At 42.0% G+C, this 26,644-nt stretch overlaps 2 protein-coding genes and 1 long non-coding RNA gene across 7 annotated transcripts in view, besides 2 other annotated features; all 3 read right to left on the bottom strand.

Moving 5' to 3' along the window:
- Nucleotides 1-7,233: 7,233 nt before the first annotated feature.
- On the bottom strand, nucleotides 7,234-9,186 carry KHDC1L (KH domain containing 1 like). Its single transcript, NM_001126063.3, has 3 exons — nucleotides 8,987-9,186; nucleotides 7,856-8,038; nucleotides 7,234-7,529 (listed from the first exon to the last, which is right to left on the bottom strand). Exons 1-3 carry the CDS (start codon nucleotides 9,096-9,098, stop codon nucleotides 7,438-7,440), a joined length of 387 nt encoding a protein of 128 aa, NP_001119535.1. The 5' UTR covers nucleotides 9,099-9,186; the 3' UTR covers nucleotides 7,234-7,437.
- LOC122539213 (KHDC1-KHDC1L) overlaps nucleotides 7,234-26,644 on the bottom strand; it is an 86,616-nt gene continuing 67,205 nt past the window's right edge. Inside the window, exons 3-8 of one of the 2 annotated variants that reach the window (NR_173145.1) lie at nucleotides 26,096-26,220; nucleotides 25,745-25,927; nucleotides 19,633-19,839; nucleotides 8,987-9,111; nucleotides 7,856-8,038; nucleotides 7,234-7,529 (exon numbers count right to left, since the gene is read on the bottom strand). This is a non-coding gene — a long non-coding RNA (KHDC1-KHDC1L). The remainder of the gene's footprint in view (nucleotides 7,530-7,855; nucleotides 8,039-8,986; nucleotides 9,112-19,632; nucleotides 19,840-25,744; nucleotides 25,928-26,095; nucleotides 26,221-26,644) is intronic. The other variant, NR_173146.1, reaches the window with a different exon arrangement.
- Nucleotides 7,542-8,741: an enhancer, noted in NCBI's record as "MED14-independent group 3 enhancer chr6:73933575-73934774 (GRCh37/hg19 assembly coordinates)". NCBI's record gives its function as "activates an origin of replication core promoter dependent on BRD2, BRD4, P300/CBP and CDK7 cofactors, and independent of MED14, by STARR-seq in HCT116 cells {active_cell/tissue: HCT116}" and the evidence as "EXISTENCE:reporter gene assay evidence [ECO:0000049][PMID:35650434]".
- Nucleotides 7,976-8,270: an enhancer, noted in NCBI's record as "tiled region #4143; K562 Activating DNase matched - State 4:PromP". NCBI's record gives its function as "activates a minimal TATA promoter and a strong SV40 promoter by Sharpr-MPRA in K562 cells {active_cell/tissue: K562}" and the evidence as "EXISTENCE:reporter gene assay evidence [ECO:0000049][PMID:27701403]".
- The window catches only part of KHDC1 (KH domain containing 1), a 69,065-nt gene continuing 67,424 nt past the window's right edge, over nucleotides 25,004-26,644 (bottom strand). For all 4 annotated transcript variants that reach the window (NM_001395215.3, NM_001251874.4, NM_001395216.1 and 1 more), the window contains 3 exons: nucleotides 26,096-26,220; nucleotides 25,745-25,927; nucleotides 25,004-25,418 (listed from right to left, as the gene is read on the bottom strand). In NM_001395215.3, the coding sequence (NP_001382144.2) occupies nucleotides 25,219-25,418; nucleotides 25,745-25,927; nucleotides 26,096-26,207 (495 nt within the window). In that variant the 5' untranslated portion in view covers nucleotides 26,208-26,220 and the 3' untranslated portion in view covers nucleotides 25,004-25,218. The remainder of the gene's footprint in view (nucleotides 25,419-25,744; nucleotides 25,928-26,095; nucleotides 26,221-26,644) is intronic.

Genomic DNA, 26,644 nt, shown 5'->3' on the forward strand with positions numbered 1-26,644 from the left:
CACCAGTATTGTCAGGGTGCTTGGATTTCTACTAAGAAAGCTAATCTTCTAGGTAGCTTTGTGTACATGTTGATAATCACATTCTCAAATATTACCTTTTTGGTAAAATTAAGCAACCATTAACTTCTGTGCTAAAGCGTTAAGGAAAAATCAGATTCGTCGGCTTGCATTAAGGAAAAATCAGATTCACCAACTTGGTAGCTCTCACCTGCAATTCCAGTTACTCAGGAGGCTGAGGCAGAGAATTGCTTGAACCCAGAAGGCAGAGGTAGCAGGTGGCTGAGTTCGCACCATTGTACTCCAGCCTGGGCGACAGAGTAAGACTCCATCTCAAAAAAAAAAAAAAAAAAATATATATATATATATATATATATAAAACCGATGCTGGCGAGATTGCAGAAAAAAACAGAACACTTATACACAGTTTTATACACTGTTGGTGGGAGCGTAAATTAGTTCAACCGTTGGGAAAGCAGTATGGTGATTCCTCAAACTGCTAAAAGCAGAAGTACCATTTGATCCAGCAAGCCCATTACTGGGTATCTATCCAGAAGAATATAAATCATTCTACCGTAAAAATATATGCACATGAATGTTCATTACAGCTCTATTCATGATAGCAAAGACATAGAATCAACCTAAATGCCCATCAATGACAGACTGGATAAAGAAAATTTAGTACATATACACCACGGAATACTATGCAGCCATAAAAAAGAACAAGATAATATCTTTTGCAGGAACATGGATGGGGCTGAAGGCCATTATCCTTAGCAAACTAACACAGGAAGAGAAAACCAAATATTGTATGTTCTCACTTACCAGTGGGAGCCAAATGATAAGAACTCATGAATACAAAGAAGTAAACAACAGACATTAAGTTCTACTTGAGGGTGGAGGGTAAGAAAAGGGAAAGAAGCAGGAAAGATAAATAGTGGGTAATGGGCTTAATACCTGGGTAATGAAATAATCTGTACAACAAACTCCCATGACACAAGCTTACCTATGTAACAAACCTTCACATGTGTCCCAAAATCTAAAATACAAGTTTTACAAAAATTATCTTTGAAAAATAACAAACCACTTATATAGTCAGCAGGGGTGGAGGAGAAGGCAGCCAGCTAGGACCAGCTGGTGGCCCTGGAAAAATTATTCATGCACAATTATGGAAATAATATCATCCTAAGTACCACATAGGGCAACAAACGCAGAGTCAGAGATGGTGTGCAGTGAGTTGTCTAATACTAGTTATGCACAATCTTGGTTACCTCATATTTTAGAGTAATAAAAAAGGCAAGGTTTGCAAGTGTAACACATGGAGTAAGTAATCATCTTTATTTCGTATATTCATGGGAAGGTGCACACACACAGCAAAGAGAGGAGTCCTGATACTCTTAGCTTTGCCTGTCCATGCTGGATGTAGACTCACAGCAAGATGGGCACATCTGAAACCAAAAGTGTCAATAATTTTCTGATGGCAGAGGGTTTTTTTGGTTTTGTTTTTCTTCTTTTGTTTTGAGTTTAGAGACAGGGTCTTGACCTATTGCCCAGGCCAGAGTAGTGACGCAATCATAGCTCACTGATGTCTCAAACTCCTGTACTCAAGTGATCCTCCTGCCTCAGCCTCCCAAAGCACCAGGATTACAGGTATGAGGCACTGCACCCAGCCTCATTGTAGAGTATTTATTTATTTATTTATTTATTTATTTATTTATTTATTTATTTGAGACAGGGTCTCATTCTGTCGCCCAGGCTGGAGTGCAGTGGCGCGATCTCAGCTCACTGCAACCTGCACCTCCCAGGTTCAAGTGATTCTCCTGTCTCAGCCTCCTGAGTAGCTGGGACTACAGGCACGCACCACCACACCCAGCTAACTTTTGTATTTTTAGTAGATACTGGATCCACCATGTTGTCTACGCTGGTCTCGAACTCCTGGCCTCAAGTGATCCACAGCCTCTCAAAGTGCTGAGATTACAGGCGTGAGCCACTGTGCCTGGTAATACAGCATTTAAAAAGCAGGACTATGCTAACAAATACGCACTCAAATGAAATATAGTTTCTATTGCATCCTACATGAGTTTCTCAAGATTCCTTATACTTGAACAAATAGATATTCTATGAGAATTTGGCAGCTTCAAATGTGTGGGTTTCATTTAGCATGGCTTCTCAAGTTCCCAGGTCATAAATCCATTTCTCATTCAGTGGCTCTATCACTCTGTCAATCTCTGGCTCACAGTTGCAGTTTTTCAACTCGCAGATGATGTCAAAACATAGAAAAATAGAATCCTGTTTAGTGCTGATGGACATTAACTTCTAACATCAATTTAACTCCAGGTGATTAGTTTAGACTAATCGTGATAATCTCATTCCCCTTGCCAGTGATTGCTTTAGGAAATGGCACATGTACCAGTTTTGAAATGAAGTAAAACCTAAAGGAGGCTTCCAGCAGAGGTTGTCTCATTTCTGAAAAGAGACACAAAAAAGGACTCATATCTTCTTTCTTTCTCCTGGTGTTTATGACAGGATATGATTTTGGAAATGGCTACAGGTATTTTGCTACCAACCTGAAGAGGAAGCCAACACAAGGTGGAAGGGAGCCCTTGGCATAATATGCCTGGAATGTCTGCTATTGGCACTAATACAGTGCTTTATTAGCATCCAACTGGACCAGTGTTTCCTATTATTTGCTGTTCAAAGCATGCTACATGATTCTGGTCCCTTTTACATACTTCTCTCATTTTGATTGATTGAGCCCAGCAATGTTCCCCTTTCCAAGGAGGGAGAATGAACTGCAGGTAACAAGTGTTTTATCACATAAAACCTCAAGAGTGAAAAGCACAAAGTATGTCTTGATTATTTTCATTAATAAGCACTTTCCAAGTCATATTAAGCATCAAAGAATTTATAATCAAAATGTATATGCAGTAATTCAGGCCCTATTGAGTACCAAAAAACTAATACTATAGAAAAATCCTTACCACTTCATCTTGTAGCCAAAAATATATAAATAAATAAACAGAGAAAAAAGAAAAATTCTATTTCTACATTAAATGTCAAAGCCCTTCATTTGGAATTCTCTTACTGTGTATCTTGCTGAAGAGAAATCCTATTAATACAACTAGTATGAGAAAGTCTTCAGTGATAGTTCTATCAAACCTGAAGAAATACACTGGGACAAGTCCAATAAATGTAACAAAAGTCAAACATTTATTCTAAAGGACATTAGACTTAATGTTGAATCAGGGAAACTTTAGGTGGAGAAAAATATTATCGATAATATAGAAAGCCAATCATTGGCCTGCTAACCTAAACATGTATCAGAAAAAAATTTACATCTAACCCATAGAAAGTTTCAGTCCCATCTTAATTTTTAAGTACCACTGAATGTACACTGGAAAATAACATAAGCAATGAGAAATGTTTCAATGTCTTTTCATCTTATTTTGGTCATGAGAAAACTCACATTGTAATGAATTGCAACTATACTAAAGTCATAGATTCAGCTATTTTGCCCTCAAGAAAGTACACAATTCAATGACAAAAATAACGTAAAGTAAATCATATCCTTTAAAATTTTTTTGTTTTTTTAGACAGGGTCTGCTTCACTCATCCAGGCTGGAGGGCAGTGGTACCATCACAGCTTACTGTACCCTCAACCTCTCAGGCTCATTCGATCCTCACGTCTCAGCCTCCTTAGTAGCTGGGACTACTACAGTCATGCCCCACCATGCTCAGCTAGTTTTTTTTGTAGTTTTTGTAGAGATGGGGTTTCTCATGTTGCCCTGGCTGGTCTGTCTTGACCTCCTGAGGTCAAGCAATCATCCCACCAGAGCCTCCCAAAGTCCTGGGCTTACATGCGTGAGCCACCCAGCCCCGCCTAAATCATATCCTTAAGTAATGATTTTGTTGGAAAGGTTTTTACAAGTATCACAACATATTCAAAGTAAATTAGCTCTTCCTGGTGATTTAGAGCAATTGTCAGGCAAACTTTTTCTATAAAGGCCACAGAGTAAATATTTTATGTTTTATGTCATGCAGTCTCTGTCAAAACTACTCACTCAGCAATTGCAGTGCAAAACTGGTCAGAAGCAATACATAAATAAATGATAGGTACCGGTCTATCTCAAAAATCTCTATTTATAAGCACACATTGAATTTTATATAATTTAATGCATAATCAAATATTAACCTTCTTTTAATTTTTTAAACCATGTAAGCCATGTGATCCATGATTCCTAAACCACAAGCTGTACAAAAAGTAGACAAAAAAACGGATTAGTCCTACCATGTACCAAGTAGTACAAAACTTCAATAAATACAAGGCTGTGTTTTATTGATGCATGAACAGAAAGGCAAATTAATGAAATAGAATAGAAAACCAAAAAAAACCCACATATATGCATAGAAATTTAATATTTGATAAAGGAGACAATTCAGATTAGTGTGGAAAAGGTGGATTACTCATTCAATGATTGAGTAATCATTGGGATAAACAGATTCACCTATTAAAAATCCAATTGAGACCAGGCTCAGTGGTTCACACATGTAATCCCAACACTTTGGGAGGCTGAGGCACAAGGATCACTTGAGCCCAGGAGACTGAGATCAGCCTGGGCAAGATGGTGAAATCTTTTCTCTACAAAAATGAAATAAATTAAAAAATTAGACAGGAGAAGTTACGTGCACCTGTAGTCCCAGCTACTTGGGAGGCTGAGGTGGGAAAATAACTTGAGCCCAGAAGTTTGAGGCTGCTGTGACCTATGATCACACCACTGCACTCCAGCCTGGGTGACAGAGTGAGACCCTGTCTCCAAAAAATAAAACAGTAAGAATAGATGTAAAAGTATATATGTATAAAATATTAAAAATCTGTTTGAACAAGACCTAACAACCAAAATCAAAACACATCTCAGGAACATCAAATATTTAAATGTTAAAAAACAAGCCCAAACCATACCAGAGGAAACCACTACCAAATATTTTATAGTCATGGAATGAGGAGGGCATTTCTAAGAATGAAACAAAATCCAGAGACAATAAATATAAAAAGATTCATGAATTCATCTCATAGATATTAAAAATATCTCCATGGCAAATTCCACCAAAACAATGTAAAAAACAAAGGACACACTGGAAAGAAGTATTTGTGGCTCATTTTACAAGCAAAGCACTAATTTTCATAATATATCAAGAGGTACTACAAGTCAATAACAACCTAATGGACAACAGCCTAAATAGACAGGTCACAGAAAGTGCAATATAAATTGTCTTTATACATATGAATGAAAAGGTATCAGGAAAGACATAGGAGAATCCAATAAGGAGATATTCAGTGTCACTTGGAATAAGATACATGCAATTTTAAACACCACTAAGAAACATTTTTCATCTATCAGACTGACAATTTAAAAATACATGGGTTTTGTTTTTGTTTTGAGACAGATTTGCTCTTGTCATCCAGGCTGGAGTGCAGTGGTGCAATCTCGGCTCACTGCAACCTCTGCCTCCCGGGTTCAAGCGATTCTCCTGCTTCAGCCTCCCAGGTAGCTGGGATTACAGGTGCCCACCACCATGCCTGGCTAATTTTTGTGTTTTTAGTAGAGACAGGGTTTGACTATGTTGGCCAGGCTGGTCTCAAAACACTTGACCTAGGTGATCCACCCACCTTGGCCTCACAAAGTGCTGGAATTACTGGCATGAGCCACCACGCCCAGCCATTCTTATGCCTAGTATTGTAGAATGTGCTTGACTCCTTTACAGGATTTTGTTTGTTTTGTTTTGTTGTTTGAGACAGGGTCTCCCTGTCACCCAGGCTGGAGTGCAGTGGCGCGAGCTCCACTCACTGCAACCTCCGCCTCCCCTGCTCAAGCGATCCTCCCACCCCAAACCCCTCTCCCAGCAGCTGGGATGACAGTTGCCCACCACAAAACCTGGCTAATTTTTTTATATTTTTGGGAGAAACAGGGTTTCACCAAGTTGTCCAGGCTGGTCTCAAACTCCTGAGCCCCCCTTGGCCTCCCAAAGTGCTGGAATTACAAGCATGAGCCACAGTGCCCAGCCACTACAATTTGATTTCTTTCAACATTTTCTCTACTTGTTTTTCCACTCTGAATATGACCTTTCTAACTTATGTGTTTTTTGTTGTCTTTTTTTTTTTTTTTTTTTGAGACATAGCTTTACTCTTGTTACCCCAGCAGGAGTACAATGGCATGATCTCGGCTCAACGCAACCTCCGCCACCCGGGTTCAAGGGATTCTCCTGCCTCAGCCTCCTGAGTAGCTGGGATTACAGGCATATGCGCCACCATGCCCGGCTACTTTTGTGTGTTTAGTAGAGATTGGGTTTCTCCATGTTGGTCAGTCTGGTCTCAAATTCCCAACCTCAGGTGATCCGCCCACCTCAGCCTCCCAAACTCGTGGGATTACAGGTGTGAGCCACTGCGCCTGGCCGACCTTTCTAACTTATATTTGGTAACTGGCCTTGTAAAAGCCATGTAATTAGCAAATCTTGCTGGCTTCAAAATAGGTCCCAAATTCAACCATTTCCTAACACATCTACCATTCCACTCTGGTCCAAGTCACCATCGTCACTCTCCTAGAGTACTGCAATTGCCTCATTATAGATACGAAATGCTGGAGAAAATGCAAATTTGAAGAGGAAGAGTTCAACTGAGGACAGGTTTAGCTTGCGATAATCTTGGCTACAGAAACATGTAGATTCCGCAATCGGAGAAAGTTCTTCAATGGAGATCCAGGAAGCCTTCCTAGTCAATTTAATTCATGGCTTGAGGGACTTCAGAATCCTTTGCTCCCTGAAAACCACCCCCTCCACGCTCACCCCCACCCACAAACTTGGGCAATCAGGGACAAGGCTGGCTACCTCATATTCACCAGATTCCCTGGCTGCCTACTTCACCAGGCAGTTGGGGTGGGAACACTTTCCATCTCTATCTGGAGCCTTCCTCCCACCTTTCCATTCTCCCCATTTGTCTGCACTTCAAGGTCCAGGAAAACCCTGGGGCTCCTAGGAGGGTCCCTTTTCAGAAGCCCCCATTTTCACTCAACTCAGAGCAGCCTAACCAGGCTCCAGGCCTGAGAGGAGGAGTTCCTGAAAGCACCGACTTTTGTGCCTGGCTCCTTCCCTGGGCTGGGCCTCCCCAGACCTCAGCACTTGCCCAGAGAATCCCCTTCAGGGCTGAATAATTTCATCCTAAGAGGACAGCACATCGAAGGCTTTGCATCATAGGTAGCTTATTTTATTGGATTGCTTTGCCAATAACACTTCTAACACTCAGGAGACTTCCCTCAGACACATGCCTAGAAGGCCTGAGAGGGGCAGGTCTGGCCACAAATTCAAACTTTCTTCAGTGTTTTTCATGTCTTTCTCACCAAAAGCGAAGCCAAGACTTCTCCTCTCATCCCCTCTTCCCAGGGGAGATCAGTCTCCGGTGTACGGTGGCAGGCTAACGGAGGTGACCAGGTCATCATTGGTCAGGGGCTGGCTTCGGACACGCTCTAGCATCTTCAGACCTGCAAAAGAATTGCCTGGAGCTGAAGAACCAGAGTCCCATTACTGGGGCCCTTAGTAGGCCCAGACTCCACCAGGAAGGTTCCAGAGAGGATGTCACCCCAGCCCAGGTCTTCCAAGGTAACCCATTTACTCCTCCCTGCTACCCTCTCCTCCCTGAGCAATCGCATGCCACAAAAATGAGCCCTTCCCTTCCCAATGGACTCTGGGAAGCACCTGGATTCCCCAGCCACACAAGGGATTCTTCACGAATCCAAGATGCCACACAACACAGCCAGAACTCCACCATCAAGCCCTCCACCTCCACAGTTCGGCCAAGGATACCTACCTCGAGCGTGACACTTGGAGTCCTGGCTCCCCACGCAATGGAACATGAGCAGCAGCCACTGCTTTGCCATTGGTGGTCCGACTACAGTCACACGTGTCTGGCCTGTAGCTGTGAAACACCTCTCCAGCTGAATAAGGGTGTGGCTGTGCAGCTCAATGCAGCGAAGGTACGTGTCATCAAGTCCTGTAAGCACAAGAAGTGAGAAGAGAAACTGTCAGCCACCAGTCCTTGGGGAGTGAGGAGGTGGCCTTGAGGGTAGGGATGTGTGACTCATGAAGGTGGGAGGAGAGGGGAAGATTGAAAATCGAGAAGGGGATGAAGGAGGCCGGCCTAGCGCAGTGACTCATGCCTGTAATCCCAGCAATTTGGGAGGCCGAGGCAGGTAGATCAGTTGAGGTCAGGAGTTCCACACACGCCTGGCTAACATGGTGAAACCCCGTCTCTACTAAAAATACAAAAAATTAGCCGGGCGTGGTGGCAGGCGCCTGTAGTCCCAGCTCCTCGGGAGGCTGCGGCAGGAGAATGGCGTGAACCCGGGAGGCGGAGCTTGCAGTGAGCCGAGATCGCGCCACTGCACTCCAGCCTGGGCGACAGAGATTCCATATCAAAAAAAAAAAAAAAAAAAAAAACACGAGGCCGGGCGCAGTGGCTCACACTTGTATTCCCAGCAGTTTGGGAGGCCGAGGCCGGCAGATCAGGAGGTGAGGAAATCGAGACCATCCTGGCTAACACGGTGAAACCCCATCTCTACTAAAAATACAAAAAAAATTAGCCGGGCGTGATGGCGGGCGCCTGTAGTCCCAGCTGTTCTGGAGGCTGAGGTGAGAGAATGGCGTGAACCCGGGAGGCAGAGCTTGCAGTGAGCCGAGATCGCGCCACTGCACTCCAGCCTGGGCGGCAGAGCAAGACTCCGTCTCGAGTCTCAAAAAAAAAAAAAAAAAAAGTACAAAAACTAGTTAGGCGTGGTGGCAGGCGCCTGTAATCCCAGGTACTCTGCAGGCTGAAGCAGGAGAATCACTTGAACCCAAAAGGCAGACGTTGCAGTGAGCCAAGATCACGAGCGAGAATCTGTCTCAAAAAAATAAAAATAAAAAACAGATGAAGGAGGGGACGTGGGCAAAGGCCACTCACCGAAGATGAGCTCCTCCTGGTCCTCTTCCATGTGGAACACCATTGGAGAATGAAAGTTTTCGGGCAGGGTCCACCACGGCTCCTTGCTGAGAGCACTCGTTCCCACGGCCATGCTGTGCTCCCACCTGATTCAGAATAGGGGAAAGTCTAACAAACTGGTTGGCAAAAGACTTGGAAAAGCGAGGAAGGGCCTAGGCTCTGTCCTTAAAAAGGGTTGTCCTTAATAAGGGTTGTTGGAATCCAAACAACCCGCCCCTTGATCCACCTTAGGGTGGATGTCCAATCCCCGGAGGTCTTCCCAAGATAATTCATTCCAAGTAATTATCTGCTCTGAGCTTAATTCTTTCAAGTCAAACTTAATCATCTGATAAGTGCTTGGCTTTCTGATGTCCTGGAATCAGAAATTTTTCTTCACTCTAAATTCAAAGAATTTTGGAGCAGGGGGTTGAGGGTATGGAGGTGCAGGAAGGCTCCAAATGGGCTCCCTAGATTTGCACAGGTGTCGGCAGCCACCCAGTGACCACACAGTGTATTCCAACACGACTTGGTTTATTTGGTGTGTTGCGTCAAGGGAGAGCAAACAATAGAGGAAAATAAACTTGATAGGATAGTGTCATAGGGAGCCCATTGTAGGAGTTGACTAGGGCAGTCCAAGGCGTGTTTAAGGAGTAGGAGCCAGTTCTCTAAAATGGTGCAATTTGATGATTATTCTGGTAAATTTATCTAGGAAGTTGAGAGACTAATGTGGTCTTCACTGCAGAATGTTATCTCTCTCTGGTTTCAAATATAGTTACAGAATAGACTTTCTATATCTTGTTGCATGACAATCACTGAGCAAACTTGACTGCTTAAAATATTCTTCGGCCGGGTGCAGTGGCTCATGCCTGTAATCCCAGCACTTTGGGAGGCTGAGGTGGGCGGATCAGGAGGGCAGGAGTTCAAGACCAGCCTGACCAACATGCTGAAACCCTGTCTCTACTAAAAATACAAATACATTAGCCGGAGTGTGGTGGTGCACACCTGTAATTCCAGTTACTCAGGAGGCTGCAGCAGGAGAATCGCTTGAAGCCGGGAGGCAGAGGTTGCAGTGAGCCGAGATCGCACCACTGCACTCCAGCCTGAGTGACAGAGCGAGACCCCGTCTCAAAAAAAAAAAAAATTTTGCAGGAGATGTTTGTGTGTGGTAGGGAAGATTCAGCTTGGCCTGTCAGCTTCCCACTGCAAGTTCCTGGGTGATTTTTCACTTTTCATCCTCCTCTTTTGACCAAAGACAAAGTCAGCCATCAGGACTTTCATCTGTGAGGTTCAGATCTACACCACTGTCTGAGTCCACAGATCACAAGGTTATCGGGAGAACATTCTCTGCATCCACATACATTTGGTCTCTCATATACATTTAGTACAAAATATACAAGTGAAAATATAATGACTGCACAGTAGCATTTAAGACTGAACAGGAGGCCAGGCGCTGTGGCTCACGCCTGTAATCCCAGCCCTTTGGGAGGCCGAGGCACGTGGACCACCTGAGGTCAGCAGTTCACCGCCAGCCTGGCCAACATGGTGAAACCTCGTCTCTACTAAAGATACACAAATTACCTGGGCGTGGTTGCGGGCGCCTGTAATGCCAGCTACTCAGGAGGCTGAGGCAAGAGAATCACTTGAACCCAGGAGGCACAGGTTGCAATGAGCCGAGATCATGCCATTGCAGTCCAGCCTTGGGGGCAAGAGCGAAACTCCGTCTCAAAAAAAAAAAAGAAAAAGAAAAAGAAAAAGAAAGACTGAACAGGATGTACTAGTCAAATGCAGGTAATTACTAGAAACAAAATGATTATTAGTCCTAGTAATAGGTTGCAAAGACAAAGGCCGATTTCAAAACCAGACCATGAAATCATGTCCCAACTTCATCTGAATCTGTTCTAGAGAGACAGGTAGTCTTTTAACCTTGCCACAAAACTCTTCTGCCTCAGCAGTAATGTTTTAGGGAGGTGCTGCAAACAGTGTTTGCTATCAAATAAAAGCTGTCCTTGGCTGGCCAAGAAGAAACCAAAAACTATGAAATCATTCATAACCACCATGAAACTTTAATTTAAGCTAGTTTGCTGGACCTCCAGAAAAGAAGTTAGTGTCATCTATTGATTTCTGCTAGGACCAGAGACATATTTTGGACCACCTTTTCTAGTCATATTATTCCTATTACTGGAATTGGAGCTCCCAGAGTATAGATGAAGAGGGAGTCGGTCATCTCTCCTGGAAGGTCTCCTGAATAGTCCATACTTTTCTCAGAGAAACATCATTTCCTATAGGAGTACATGTTTAAAATATTGAAAAATATTATTAATAAAATAGTTTAAAACTCACTCCATATTACACAAGTTTGTATAATGATCAGGTGATCTGATATCCACATAAAAAGTAGTGCCTTAGTGTTGCACAAACTGAAAGGGATATGGGGTGTATAAGTGTCATTTATCACAGTGAGAGTAGGAAAACTAGTTCAACATGTGAACACTGCTTGAGTGGAGGCTGAGGAGTCACTGAAGATTAAGGACTAACACTGCAAGGAGAGACTCAATACATTATTGCAATAATGTCAGCAGACATACTTTGTTGTTTGAGATCATCCTGTGAGCCAGGATTTCACTACCAGCCCAAACAACAAAGTGAGACTTCGTCTTTACTAAAAACTGAAAAAAATAACCGAGTGAGGTGATGCGCACCTGCAGTTCTAGCTTATCCAGAGGCTGAGGTGGGTGGATCACTTGATCCCAGGAGTTTCAGCTAGAATCATACAACCACACTCCAGGCTGGGTGACACAGCAAGATTCTGTCTTTTAAGAGAAAAATTTTAAGCTAAATAAAAATTTAAAAAACAATAGCTATAGTTGACAAAAAAATAAGAAAGTTTTCCTTTACCTTAGGTGGCAGGAAAAATTCTCTAATATAGAAAATTGAGGCCAGACATGGTGACTCACGCCTGTAATCCCAGCACTTTGGATGCTGAGGCACGTGGATCACTTGAGGTCAGGAGTTTGAGACTAGCCTGGCCAACATGGTGAAACCCCATCTCCACTAAAAATACAAAAGTTAGCCAGGCATGGTGACATAAGCCTGTAATCCCAGCTACTTGAGGGGCTGAGGCAGGAGAATCACTTGAACCAGGGAGACAGAGGTTGCAGTGAGCTGATGTTGCGCCACTGCACTCCATTTTGGGTGACAAGAGCAAAAAAAACTTTGCCAAAAAAAAAAAAAAGTTCAAGATAAACTGTCATTCGTCGTTTGTGAAAGAATCCTTTTCTTTGAGACAGAGTCTCACTCTGTTGCCCAGGCTGGAGTGCAGTGGTCCAATCTCATCTCACTGCCTCAGCCTGCTAAGTAGTTGAGATTACAGGCGGGTGACACCACGCCCAGCTAATTTCTGCATTTTTGTATTTTTAGTAGAGACAGGGTTTCACCATGATGGCCAGCCTGGTCTCAGACTCAGGGCTTCAAGTATTCTGCCTGCCTGGTTCTCCCAAAGTGCTAGGATTACAGGCATGAGCCACCTTGCCAGGCCGAGTTTGTGAAAGAATCTTAAAAACTTTTGGTTGCCCTCTAGGGAACGCTTAAGCACAATGATAAGTACAGCAAAATTTTAAAAAGAGGGCAAAGATACCAGAACATGTATCTTGTTTTACTGTCTTGGGTGGAAGTAACTACTCGGGGTCATCAAAGCTTGATCTGAAGACATTGGTTTGGTCATCTTCTTCCAAAAATCGTTGTTCTGGAAGATACTTAAGAATTCTCAGTTTATGGTTTCTTGATGATGTCCTTAATTTATTAAGGCCAACGGTAGTTTTTCCTCTGATTTTGAGATGTTTAGTCTTTTCCAAAAGACAAATCTTCAGATTTCTAGTCATGTAGAGCCATTAGGTGGGTATTTGGGGGAAGATTATTGTTATCTATTAAAAGCTAGACACACCAAATGAATCCTTTGTAGTATTTAGAAATGTGAGCTTGTGATATGGCAGAGTACGGGTTCAGAAGTGAATTCCTAAATGTATGGAGAAGCCTATGGATTCCAGGAGGAGTTGATGTCATTGTCTTCAAGGCTAATAGCAATTCCCAAGCCATGGAAGTTTGAGTGTTGGAGAACATTCTCAAACTTAGTTTTACAGAATTCATTTTTTTCTAATTGTTCTTTTTTTTTTTTTTTTTTTTTTGAGACCGGGTTTAGTTCTTGTTGCCCAGGCAGGATTGCAATGGTGCAGTGGTCTCGGCTCCCTGCAACCTCCACCTCCCAGGTTCAAGCAATTCTTCTGCCTCAGCCTCCCGAGTAGCTAGGATTACAGGCATGAGCCACCACACCTGGCTAATTTTTTTGTATTTTAGTAAAGACGGGGTTCTACCATGTTGGCCAGGCTGGTCTCAAACTCCTGAACTCAGGTGATCCACCCGCCTTGGCCTCCCAAAGTGCTGGGATTACAGGTGTGAGCCACCATGCCCCTCCTTCTTTCTAATTGTTCTAAATATTCATTTGGTACAGCAAGATTGTTTATTCACACTAAAAAACATTTGGAGCTGTTCTTTTGTGTACCACAACCCCTCCCCCCAATCACTGAAGAATACACTAGAATTCCTTAAGTCCAGAATAACAGTCAAGCAATTTTATCATCAAAATCTTGTCTGTCTATCAGGAATATCCTCAATCCATTCTGGAGATAAGCAGACTATGACTAGAACATATTTACAAACCATCAGTATGGCAACTGCTTTGGTTAATGCTACTTGTTTAGCATAGTGGCAAATTATTTCCTCAGGATTCTGGGTTATTGCCCTTTAAATTAGTCTCCATTTTATTATATGGCTACTCCCTTAGGTAATGGCAAAGCTTCTAAAAGTTCTTTAATTTCTTGCCTTTTTGGGTTTTGTTTTGGTTTGGTTTGGTTTTTGTTTTTTTTGTTTTGTTTTGTTTTTTTTTTTTTTGAGACAGAGTCTGACTCTGTCTCCCTGGCTGGAGTGCCTGGTGCGATCTCAGCCCTCTACAGCCTCCATCTCCCAGGTGCAAGCCATTCTCCTGCCTCAGCCTCTCGAGTAGCTGGGATTACACGCGCAAACCACCGCGCTCAGTTTATTTTTGTATTTTTAGCAGAGACGGGGTTTTGCCATGCAGCCATGCTGGTCTCCAACTCCTGACCTCAAGTGATCCGCCCGCCTCGGCCTCCCGAAGTGCAGGGATTACAGGCATGAGCCACTGTGCCCGGCCAATTTCTTGCCATTTTTAATGAGACTTCCACAAGAGGTCAGAAAACCTCTCAATTTCTAAATTTTCTGATATGGACCAACTCAATCACATATCTACTGCCTATATAAATACTTGCTTTTATTTATTTTATTTATTTATTTTTAGCAGGACCCTCCATCACTCAGAAACTGTTCCTCTTTTAATCTCTCCTTCGCTGAATGAAGGAGAACAATTCAGCCACTTGAGCGGATTTTAACTTCTGGGAGAAGACTATACGCTAACGATAAATTTAGAATCATGATAGCATAGAATACTTGAAAAAATCTACTTTACATTTTTAAACATTAACCATTAACAAGAAACATGAATTTTTTTTTTTTTTTTTTAGACGGAGTTTCACTCTTGTTGCCCAGGATGCAGTACAATGGCGCGATCCCGGCTCACTGCAACCTCCTCCTCCCGGGTTCAACAGATTCTCCTGCCTCAGCCTCTGGACTAGCTGGGATTACAGACGCGTGCCACCACACCCGGCTAATTTTGTATTTTTAGTAGAGACGGGGTTTATCCATGTTGGTCAGGCTGGTCTCGAATTCGCGACCTCAGACGATCCGCCAGCCTCGGCCTCCTAAAGTGCTGGGATTACAGGCGTGAGCCACCGCGCCCAGCCAGGAAACATTAATATTAAAAAAAAAAAAAACTTTCCAAAATATCTGTACAAAGCATGGATAGTTCCATAAAACGGTCAAATAATCACGAACACTCCCTTCTCAAGTAAGAGAAGCAGAGTTGTCATGAGAGTTAAGGACGCCACTAACAAATACCCAGGGACTTTAATTTACCCCATAAGTATATTATGAACGTCACTAATTCATAATTGACAAAGACAGTTTCATTTTTAAAATCAAGGTTTTAACAGTTACATGTCAGTCTATATAGTAAACAAGTTTTTTAACTTTAGAAAAAAGTACATATCATTTTATTAGAAATAACCTTTAAAAAAAAAGTTTTCTTCTGACAGTTTTTTTATGTTATTCTAAGTTTGGTAACCAAAAGAACACTCATAGTATGTTTGAGTCACTCAAAATTTGCAGAACATCAAGCAAACCTGAATATTTCTTTTTATATGTAAATTAAAAGAGCGAATTTTGGCTTGAACCAGGGAGTCGGAGGTTGCACTGAGCTGAGATCGCACCACTGCACTCCAGCCTGGCGACAGAGTGAGACTCGGTCTCAAAAAAAAAAAAAGAAAAAGAAAAAAAAGAAAAAAAATTTTTTTTTTTGAGACAAAGTTTCACTCTTGTTGCCCATCACATAGCTTCTGCATAGCAAAAGAAACTATCCACGGAATAAACAGACAGCCTAAAGAAAATACTTGCAAACTATGCATCTGACAAAGGTCTAATATCCAGGATCTATAATGAACTTAAACAAATTTACAAGAGAAAAACAAACAGCCCCTTAAAATGTGGGCAAAGGGTATGAGCAAACAATTTCAAAAGACATACATGTGGCCAACAAGCATATGAATAAAAGCTCAGTTTCACTGATCATTAGAGAAATGCAAATCAAAACCACAATGAGATGCCAACTCACACAAGTTAGAATGGCTATTATTTAAAAAGTCAAAAAATAACAGATGCTGGTGAGGTTGCAGAAAAAAAGGGAACACATACACTGTTGGTGGGAGTGTAAATTAGTTTAGCCATTGTGGAAAGCAGTATAGTGATTCATCAAGCTGCTAAAAGCAGAAGTGCCATTCGACCCAGCAATCCCCTTACTGGGTATATACCCAGAAGAATATAAATCATTCTACCATAATGACACATGCACATGAATGTTCATTGCAGCATGATTCACAATAGCAAGCACATAGGATCAACCTAAATATCCATCAATGACAGATTGGATAAAGAATATGTGGTACATATACACCATGGAACACTATGCAGCCATAACAAAAAGAATGAGATCATGTATTTTGTGGGAACATGGATGGAGCTGGAGGCCATTATATTTAGCAAACTAATGCAGCAAGAGAAAACCAAATACCACTTGTTCTCACTTACAAATGGGAGCTAAATGATGAGAACTCATGAACGCAAAGAAGGAAACAATAGACACTGCGGTCTACTTGAGGGTGGAGGGTAAGAAAAGGGAGAGGAGCAGAAAAGATAAATAGTGACTAATGGGCTTAATACCTGGGTGATGAAATAATCTGTACTACAAACCCCCATGACACTAGTCTACGTATGTAACCAACCTTCACGCGTACCCCCAAGCATAAGCGTTTTAAGAAAATTATCTTTGGAAAATAACAAACCACTTATGTAGTCAGCAGGGGTAGAGGAGAAGGCAACCAGCTAGGACCAGCTGGTGGCCCTGGAAAAATTATTCATGCATAATTATGAAAATAACATTATCCAAAGTACCACATAGGACCACAAACACAGTTAGAAATAGTGTGCAGTGAGTTGTCTAATGCTAGTTATGCACAATCTTGGTTACCTCATATTTTAGAGCAATAAAAAAGGCAAGGTTTGCAAGTGTAACACATGGAGTAAGTAATCATCTTTATTTATTATATTCATGGGAAGGTGCACGCACACAGGAAGGAGAAGAGCCCTGGTGCTCTTAGCTTTGCCTGTCCCTGCTGGATGTGGACTCACAGCAAGACGGGCACATCTGAAACCAAAAGTGTCGATAATTTTCTGATGATAGAGGGTTTCCTGGTTTTGTTTTTCTTATTTGGTTTGTTTTTAGAGACAGAGTCTTGCCCTATTGCCCAGGCCAGAGAGTAGTGGCGCAATCATAGCTCACTGCAGTCTCAAACTCCCGAATTCAAGCAATCCTCCTGCCTCAGCCTCCCAAGTAGCTAGGACTACAAAAGTGCACCACGCCAACCAGCTAATTTGTTGCATTTTTGCTTTGGTTTGGTTTGGTTTTTTGTAGAGACAGGGTTTGCTATGTTGCCCAGGCAGGTCTCAAACTCCTGGGCTCAAGAGATCCTCCCGGCTCAGCCTCCAAAGCACTGGGATTATGGGCATGAGACACTGCACCCGGCCTGATTGTAGAGTTTTTAAAAAGCAGGAAAATGTTAATGAATATGCACTCAAATGAAATATAGGTTCTATTGCATCCTACATGAGTTTCTCAAGATTCCTTATACTTAAACAAATAGATAATCTATGAGAAATTGGCAGCTTCAAATTTATAGGTTTCATTTAGCATGGCTTCTCCACTTCCCAAGTCATAAATCTATTTCTTATTCAGTGGCTCTATCACTCTGTCAATCTCTGGCTCACAGTTGCAGTTTTTCAACTCCCAGATGATGTCAAAATATAGAAGAATAGAACCCTGTTTAGTGCTGATGGACATTAACTTCTAACATCAATTTAACTCCAGGTGATTAGTTTAGACTAATCGTGATAATCTCATTCCCCTTGCCAGTGATTGCTTTAGGAAATGGCACATGTCCCAATTTTGAAATGAAGTAAAACCTAAAGGAGGCTTCCAGCAGAGGTTGTCTCATTTCTGAAAAGAGACACAAAAAAGGACTCATATCTTCTTTCTTTCTCCTGGTGTTTATAACAGGATATGATTTTGGAAACGGCTACAAGTATTTTGCTACCAACCCGAAGAGGAAGCCAACACGGGTGGAAGGGAGCCCTTGGCATAATATGCCTGGAATGTCTGCTATTGGCACTAATACAGTGCTTTATTAGCATCCAACTAGACAAGTGTTTCCTGTTATTTGCTGTTCAAATCATGCTACATGATTCTGGTCCCTTTTACATACTTCTCTCATTTTGATTGATTGAGCCCAGCAATGTTCCACTTTCCAAAGAGGGAGAATGAACTGTAGGTAACCAATGTTTTATCACATAAAACCTCAAGATTGAAAAACACAAAGTATGTCTTTATTATTTTCATTTATAGCACTTTCCAAGTCATATAATATTAAGCATCAAAGAATTTATAATAAAAATGTGTATGCTCTATTGAGTACCAAAATACTAATACTATAGAAAAATCCTGACCACTCCATCTGGTAGCCAACAATAAATAAATAAGAAGAGAAGAATTCCTATTTATACTTTAAAAATCAAAGCCCTTCAGTTGGAATTATCTTGCTGTGTATCTTGCTCTCAGGCTGGAGTGCAGTGGTGTGATCATAGCTCACAGCAGCCTCAAACTCCTGGGCTCAAGTTATTCTCCCAGCTCAGCCTCCCGAGTAGCCAGGACTATAGGTGCAACCACCACACTTGGCTAATTTTTTATTTTTTATTTTTGTAGAGACAAGGTCTCACCATCTTCTCAGGCTGATCTCAAACTCCCAGGCTCAAGCAATCCCCCTTCCTGTGCCTCCCAAATTGCTGGGATTACACATGTGAGCCACTCTGCCTGACCTCAAATGGATTTTTAAATGGTTTGCTTGTTTATCACAATGATTACTCATTCACTGATTGAGTAATCTGCCTTTCCACATTAATCTGAATCATCTTATCAAATATTAAATTTTTATGCATATATGTGGGGGTATATTTGGTTTTCTATTCTATTCCATTGATTTGTCTTTCCATTCATGCATTAATAAAACACAGCCTTTTATTTACTGAAGTTTTGTACTATTTAGGACATAGATAGGACTAATGCTTTTCCTTTTTTTTCTTTTTTTTAAATTTTACTTTAAATTCTGGGCTACATGTGCAGAATGTGCAGGTTTGTTACATAGTATACATGTGCCATAGTGGTTTGCTGCACCCATAAACCCCTTATCTAGGTTTTAAGCCCTGTATACATTCAGTATTTGTGCTGATGCTCTCCCTCCCCTTGCTCATCACCCCCGGCAGGCCCAGGTGTGTGATGCTCACCTCCCTGTGTCCATGTGTTCTCACTGTTCAACTCCCACTTATCAGTGAGAACATGCAGTATTTGGTTCTGTTCCTGTGTTAGTTTGCTGAGAACAATGGCTCCCAGCTTCATCCATGTCCCTACAAAGGACAGGAATTCCTTCTTTTTTATGGCTGCATAGTATTCCATGGTGTATATGTACCACATTTTCTTTATCCAGTCTATCATTGATGGGCATTTGGGTTAGTTCCAAGTCTTTGCTATTGTAAATAGTGCTGCAATAAATACATGTGTGCATGTGTCTTTATAATAGAATGATTTATAATCCTTTGGGTATATACCCAGTAATGGGATTGCTGGGTCAAATGGTATTTCTGGCTCTAGATCCTTGAGGAATCACCACACTGTCTTCCACAATTTCTCATGCCTGTTTTTTGTATAGGTTGTGGTTTAGAAATTTTTTTTTTTTTTTTTTTTGAGATGGACTGTCACACTTGTTGTCCAGGCTGGAGTACACTGGCGCGATCTCAGCTCACTACAACCTCTGCCTCCCGGGTTCAAGCAATTCTCTTACCTCAGCCTCCCGAGTAGCTGGGATTACAGACGTACACCACCACACCCAGCTAATTTTTGTATTTTTAGTAGAAACGAGGTTTCACCGTGTTGGCCAGGCTGGTCTCAAACTCCTCACCTCAGGTGATCAAACCACCTCGGCCTCCCACAGTGCTGGGATTACAGGTGTGAGCTACTGCGCCCAGCCAGGAATCATTTTTACATGGCTCTAAAAAATCAAAAAACAAATTATTTTTTCTTACACATAAAATTATGTACAATTCATTTTGTGTTTATAAATAAAGTTATATTGGGACAGTGCAGTACCATTCAGTTATGTATTCCCTCTGACTAATTTTGCACTGTAATCATTGAGTGAGTAGTTTCGACAGAGACTGCATGACACAGAACGTAAAATATTTACTATCTGGCACTTTATAGAAAAAGCTTGCCTGACTGTTGCTCTGAATCACCAGGAAGAGCTAATTTACTTTGAATACACTATGATATCTATAAAAAAAATTTCCAACAAAATCATCACTTAAGGATACAATTTTTTTTCTTTTTTTTTTTTTTTTTTGAGAAAGAATTTTGCTCTGTTGCCCAGGCTGGAGTGCAATGGCGCAATGTCAGCTCACTGCAACCTCCACCTCCACCTCCTGGGATCAAGCAATTCTCCTGCCTCAGCCTCTCGAGTAGCTGGGATTACACCACGCCCAGCAAATTTTTGTATTTTTAGTACAGACAAGGTTTCACCATGTTGGCCAGGCTTGTCTCAAACTCCTGACCTCAGGTGATCAATCTGCCTTGGCCTCCCAAAGTCCTAGGATTACAGGTGTGAGCCACCTTGCCCAGCGGATACAATTTAATTTAAATTTTTTTTGTCATAGAACTGTGTACTTCCTTCAGTGCAAAATAGCTGAATCTATGACTTTAGTATAGTTGCAACTCACTAAAAAGTGATTTCCTCACGTCCAAAATAGAATGAAAAGACATTAAAACATTTCTGATTGATACGTTTATATTTTCCAGTGTACATTCAGTGATACTTAATAAATTAAGACAGGACTGAAACTTCACATGGGCTAGCTATAAAAGTTTTCCATCTAGTGGGCCAATGATTGGCCTTATATATTACCTATAGTATTTTTCTCTACTATAGGTTCTCTGATTCAACATTAAGTCTAGTGTCCTTGATCATAATTTTTTATTTTATTATATGTATTGGATTTCTCCCCAGTGTATTTCTCAGGTTTGACAGAAATATCACTGCAGGCCAGGCACAGTGGTTCACACATGTAATCCCAGCACTTTGGGAGGCCAAGGGGGACAGATCACTTGAGCTCAGGAGTTTAAGACCAGCCTGGCCAACATGGTGAAACCCCTTGTCTAAAAAAATTATAAAAATTATACGCATGGTGGTGTGCAACTGTAATCCCAACTACTCAGGAGGCTGAGGTGGGAGGATAACTGCAGCCCAAGAGTTTGAGGCTGCTGTGAGCTATGATCATACCACTGCACTCCAGCCTGGGTGACAGAGGTTCTGTCTCCAAAAAAAAAAATTAAATTACATTAAAATATATACATAATAAAAATAATAAAAACCCATTTGACCCATACCTAACAACCTAAATCAAATCACATCTCAGGAATACATTTAAATAATATTATTTAAATGTAAAAAAGAAAACCCAAACCATGCCAGAGGAAACCACTACCAAATATTTTATAGTCATGGGATGAGGAGGGCATTCCTAAGAACTAAACAAAATCCAGAGGCAATAAACATAAAAAGATTCATGAATTCACCTCATAGACATTAAAAATATCTACATAGCAAATACCACCCAAACAATGTAAAAAACAAAGGACACACTGGAAAGAAGTATTTGTGGCTTATTTTACAAACAACACACTAATATTTATAATATATCAAGAGGTACTACAAATCAATAACAACCTAATGGACAACAGCCTAAATAGACAGGTCACAGAAAGTGCAATATAAATTGTGTATACATATGAATGAAAAGGCATTGGAAAACACATATGGGAATCCAATAAGAAGATATTCAGTGCCACTTGTAATAAGATAAACGCAAATTAAAGCAGCACTAGGAAACCATTTTTCATCTATCAATAAGACTGACAAAAATTAAAAATATTTGATACTCATTATTGGTGAGAGTGTAAGGAAATAGATACTCATACACATGTGGTAGAAGTATAAACTGTCAACAATTAGGAAGGAAACTTGGCTATATCCATTAATGCACTTTTAGCAATTTATCCCACAAATATATTCACACATGTGCAAAATGACATATACACATTGCAGTACTGCAGTATTGTTTGTTACAACATAAGGTTGGAAATAACCTAAAAGTCCATCAATATGGAATGGGTTGAATGCTATATCCATACAATGGAACACTATATAGCTATAAGAAATTATGAGAAAGTGTTTCTGCTCTAAAATGCAACCCTCTGCCAGACCTATTGTTAAGTTTTTAAAAAGGCAAGGTGCTAAAGAGTATATTGTATGATGCAATCTGAATATAAAAAAGAAGACATTGTATATGCGTATTTATCTGAGAACCAAGGGTATACAAGGAATTAGAAACAGATTTCCTACAAGAAATGATACTGTATAGCTGAAGGACAGGACTTGGAGGGTATCTTTTTCACTAAAAGCATTTTTTGAATTTTGAACCCAATAAAGAAATTATCTATTCAAAAAACAAAATTTTACGTTTAAATGAAAATGACATAGCTGATATTCAATTATTGGTTCAGTACAATAAAGAGTAGTTCCACATACAGAACATATCTTAAGGCTTCAGAGGACATTCTCTATGGGAAAATAAATATTGACCCTATTGAACAGGAAATATGGTAGCAAAACACACACACACACAAATCCATTTAGCATCATTCTTGGTTTTTTGGTGTTTTTTTGCTTTGTTTTGTTTGTTTTTGAGATGGAGTCTCACTGTATCGCCCAGGCTGAAGTGCAGTAGCATGATCTTGGCTCACTGCAACCTCTGCTTCCCAGGTTCAACTGTTTCTCATGCCTCAGCCTCCTAAATAGCTAAGATTACAGGCATACGCCACCACACCCAGCTAATTTTTGTATTTTTCATAGAGACAGGGTTTTACCATGTTGGCCAGGGTGGTCTTGAACTCCTGACCTCAAGTGATCTGCCTGCCTCGCCTCCCAAAGTGCTAGGATTACATGTTTGAGCCATCGCACCTACCCTGTTGTTTTCTCTTTTTTTTTTTCCAGCTTCCCCATGAAAATACTTCAGACAGGGATCCTTCAGTGGGATCATTGCTTACAGCTCATTAGAAAATGACAGCTCAGCCGGGCGCAGTGGCTTACGTCTGTAATCCCAGCACTTTGGGAGGTTGAAGCAGGTGGATCACTTGAGGCCAATAGCTCGAGACCAGCCTGGCCAACATGGCAAAACCCCATCTCTACTAAAACTACAATAAATTAGCCAGGCGTGGTGGCATTCCTATAATCCCAGGGAGACTGATGCACCAGACTCGCTTGAACCTGGGAGACAGGGGTTGCAGTGAGCCGAGATCACGCCACTGCACTCTAGCCTGGGTGACAGACCAAGATTCCATCTCAAAAAAAGAAGAGAAAAGAAAGACGAAAGAAAATGACAACTCAGACTCCTTAAACTGTACTAAGGTATACACAGACCTTTGCCAGAAGTTTGATTGGAGTTAGAAATACTATGGTACCTTTGACAATCATGAGACTTTTTCCCTAGGAAATTTTTAGTAAAAGCAATGTTGATTATTGTCCAAAGGTCAGGGATATACATTTATCTTTGTATGCCTAGCAAACTAGAATGTGCTTCACTTCTTTACAGGTTATTTTTATTTCAATATTAGAATACATTCCTAGCCATTAAAAAGAATTTCATGGCTGGGTGCGGTGGCTTACGCCTGTAATCCCAGCACTTTGGGAGGCTGAGGCAGGTGGATCATGAGGTCAGGAGATCGAGACCATCCTGGCTAACACGGTGAAGCCCCGTATCTACTAAAAATACAAAAAATTAGCTGGGCGTGGTGGCAGGCACCTGTAGTCCCAGCTACTCAGGAGGCTGAGGCAGGAGAATGGCGTGAACCTGGGAGACAGAGCTTGCAGTGAACCGAGATCACGCCACTGCACTCCAGCCTGGGTGACAGAGCGAGACTCCATCTCAAAAATAAAATAAAATAAAATAAAATAAAATAAAAAGATGTTCATTCACTTTTCAACAAATAATTATTAAGGCACTGGGCTAGGCCTCAGGACTAACTGAACAATTCAATTCTAGAAAGAAAAAAGTGGCCATTTTGTGTAGACAATTTATTTTGGCAGTCTGTGTGACAGTCTGTAAACAACCTGAGTTTTTTTTGTTTTGTTTTTGTTTTGTTTTGTTTTTTTTGAGACAGAGTCTCACTCTGTCACCTATGCTGGAGTGTGGCGGTATGATCTTGGCTTACCGCAACCTCCGCCTCCTGGGCTCAAGCAATGCTGCAACCCCAGTGACCACCTTAAGCAGCTGGGATGACAGGTATGTGCCACCACACCAGGCTAATTTTTGTATTCTTGGATGAGACAGGGTTTCACCATGTTACCATGGTCTCCAACACCTGAGCCCTTCTCAGCCTCCCAAAGTGCTAGGATTACAGGCATGAGCCACAGCATTTGACTACTATAACCTGAATTCTTTCGACATTTTCTCTAAGTGTTTTTCTACTGTGAATATGATCTTTTAACCTTTATTTGGTAATTGGCCTTCTGAAAACCATGTAATTAGCAAATCTTGCTGGCTTCAAATTATTTTCCAAATTCAACCATTTCCTAACACTTCAACCACTCCACTCTGGTCCAAGTCACCATCGTCACTCTCCTAGAGTACTGCAATTGCCTCAATATAAGATGCAGGCTGCTGGAGAAGGGGCAAATTTGAAGAGGAAGAGTTCAGCTGAGGACAGGTTTAGCTTGCCATAATCTTGCCTAGACAGATCCAAATATAGACTTGGCAATCGGAGAACGTTCTTCAATGGAGATTCAGGAAGCCTTCGTATTTGATTTAATTCATGGCATGAGGGACTTCAGAATCCATTGCTCCCTGAAAACCACCCCCTCCACCCCCACCCCCACCCCCACCCACAAACTTGGGCAATCAGGGACAAGGCTGGCTACCTCATGTTCACCAGCTTCCCTGGCTGCCTACTTCACCAGGCAGTTGTGGTGGGAACACCTTCCATCTCTGTCTGGACCCTTCCTCCCACCTTTCCATTCTCCCCATTTGTCTGCACTTTAAGGTGCAAGAAAACTCTGGGGTGAATAATTTCATCCTAAGGAAAAAGGACAGTACATCGAAGGCTTTGCATCATAGGTAGCTTATTTTATTGGATTGCTTTGCCAATAACACTTTCTTACATTCAAGAGACTTCCCTCAGACATGTCTAGAAGACCTGAGAGGGACAGGTCCCGGCCACAAGTTCAAACTTTCCTCAGTGTCTATCATGTCTTTCTCACCAAAAGTGAAGCCAAGATTTCTCCTCTCATCCCCACTTCCCAGGGGAGATCAGTCCTTAATTACGGATACAGTGAACTCAAATGGAAACCCGAACAACCAATCACTTGGTAAGGGGAAGGCTGAGGAACGCTAAGACACACGGTTCCACTTATCCTGGGAGCCAAAGACAGGTCTCCAGTGTATGGTGGCACACTAATGGAGGTGACCAGGTCATCGTTGGTCAGAGGCTGGCTTCGGACACGTTCCAGCATCTCCAGGCCTGCAAAATAAGTGCCCAGGGCTAATGAACCAGGGCCCATAACTGGGGCCCATTGGCAGGCCTGGACTCCATCAGGGAGGCTGCAGGGAGGATGTCACCCCAGCCCAGACCTTCCAAGGTAGCCCATTTACACCTCCCAGCTACCTCTCCACCTTAAGCAATCTCATGCCACAAAAAAAGATGAGCACTTTTCTTCCCAATGGACTCTGGGAAGCACTTGGATTCCCCAGCCACACAAGGGATTCTTCAAGAATCCAAGATGCTACACAACTTAGCCAGAACTCCACCACCAAGTCTAAAACCACAGTTCAGCCAAGGATACCTACCTCGAGCATGATGATAGGAGTCCTGGCTCCCCACACAACAAAACATGTGCAGCAGCCACTGCCTTGCCCTGTGTGGTCCGACTACAGTCACACGAGTCTGGCCTGTAGCTGTGAACCAACTCTCCAGCTGAATAAGGGTGTGGCTGTGCACCTCAATGCAGCGAAGGTATGTGTCACCATGCCCTGTGAGCATAAGAGGTGAGAGGAGGTTCTGTCAAGCACCAGCCCTTAGGGAATGGGGAGGTGGCCTTCAGGGTAGGAATATGTGACTGATGAAGGTGGGAGGGGAGAGGAAGAGTGAAAACTGAGAAGACAAGGATGAAGAAGGGGACGTGGGCAAAGGCCACTCACCGAAGATGAGCTCCTCCTGGTCCTCTTCCATGTGAAACACCATTGGTGCATGAAAGTTTTGAGGCAGGGTCCACCACGGCTTCTTGCTGAGAGCACTCGTTCCCATGTCCATGCTCTGCTCCGACCTGATACAGAATAGGGCCAAGTCCAAGCAACTGGTTGGCAAAAGACTTGGAAAAGTGAGGGAGGGCCTAGGCTCTGTCCTTAACATAGGAACCCAACAACCTGCCCCTTGAACTACCTTAGGGTGGGTGTACAATCCCGGTATCTCTTCCCAAGATAATTCATTCCAAGTAATTATCTGTTCTGAGCTTAATCCTTCATGCCAAACTTAATCATCTGATTAGTGCTTGCCTTTCTGATGCCCCGGAATCAAAATTTTTTCTTCATTCTAAATTCAAAGGATTTTGGAGCAGATCTACTGGGTATGAACCAGGACAGGGGTTGAGGGATGGAGGTGCAAGAAGGCTCCAAATGGGCTCCCTAGATTTGCACAGGTGCTGGCAGTCACCCAATGACCAGAGTGTATTCCAACAAGACGGGGTTTGT

The sequence above is a fragment of the Homo sapiens genome, chromosome 6 (assembly GCF_000001405.40).
Source record: "Homo sapiens chromosome 6, GRCh38.p14 Primary Assembly".
NCBI classification, from domain to species: Eukaryota; Metazoa; Chordata; class Mammalia; order Primates; family Hominidae; genus Homo; species Homo sapiens.

Bases quoted from the DNA above. Each gene is read 5' to 3' on its own strand.
- KHDC1L (NM_001126063.3), bottom strand. From the start codon at position 9,098: ATGGCCGTGGGAACGAGTGCTCTCAGCAAGGAGCCGTGGTGGACCCTG. The intron at 8,039-8,986 runs GTGAGTGGCCTT...TTGTGCTTACAG, and splicing joins CCAGGAGGAGCTCATCTTCG to GACTTGATGACACGTACCTT. The intron at 7,530-7,855 runs GTAGGTATCCTT...ATTCTTTTGCAG, and splicing joins CTCCAAGTGTCACGCTCGAG to GTCTGAAGATGCTAGAGCGT.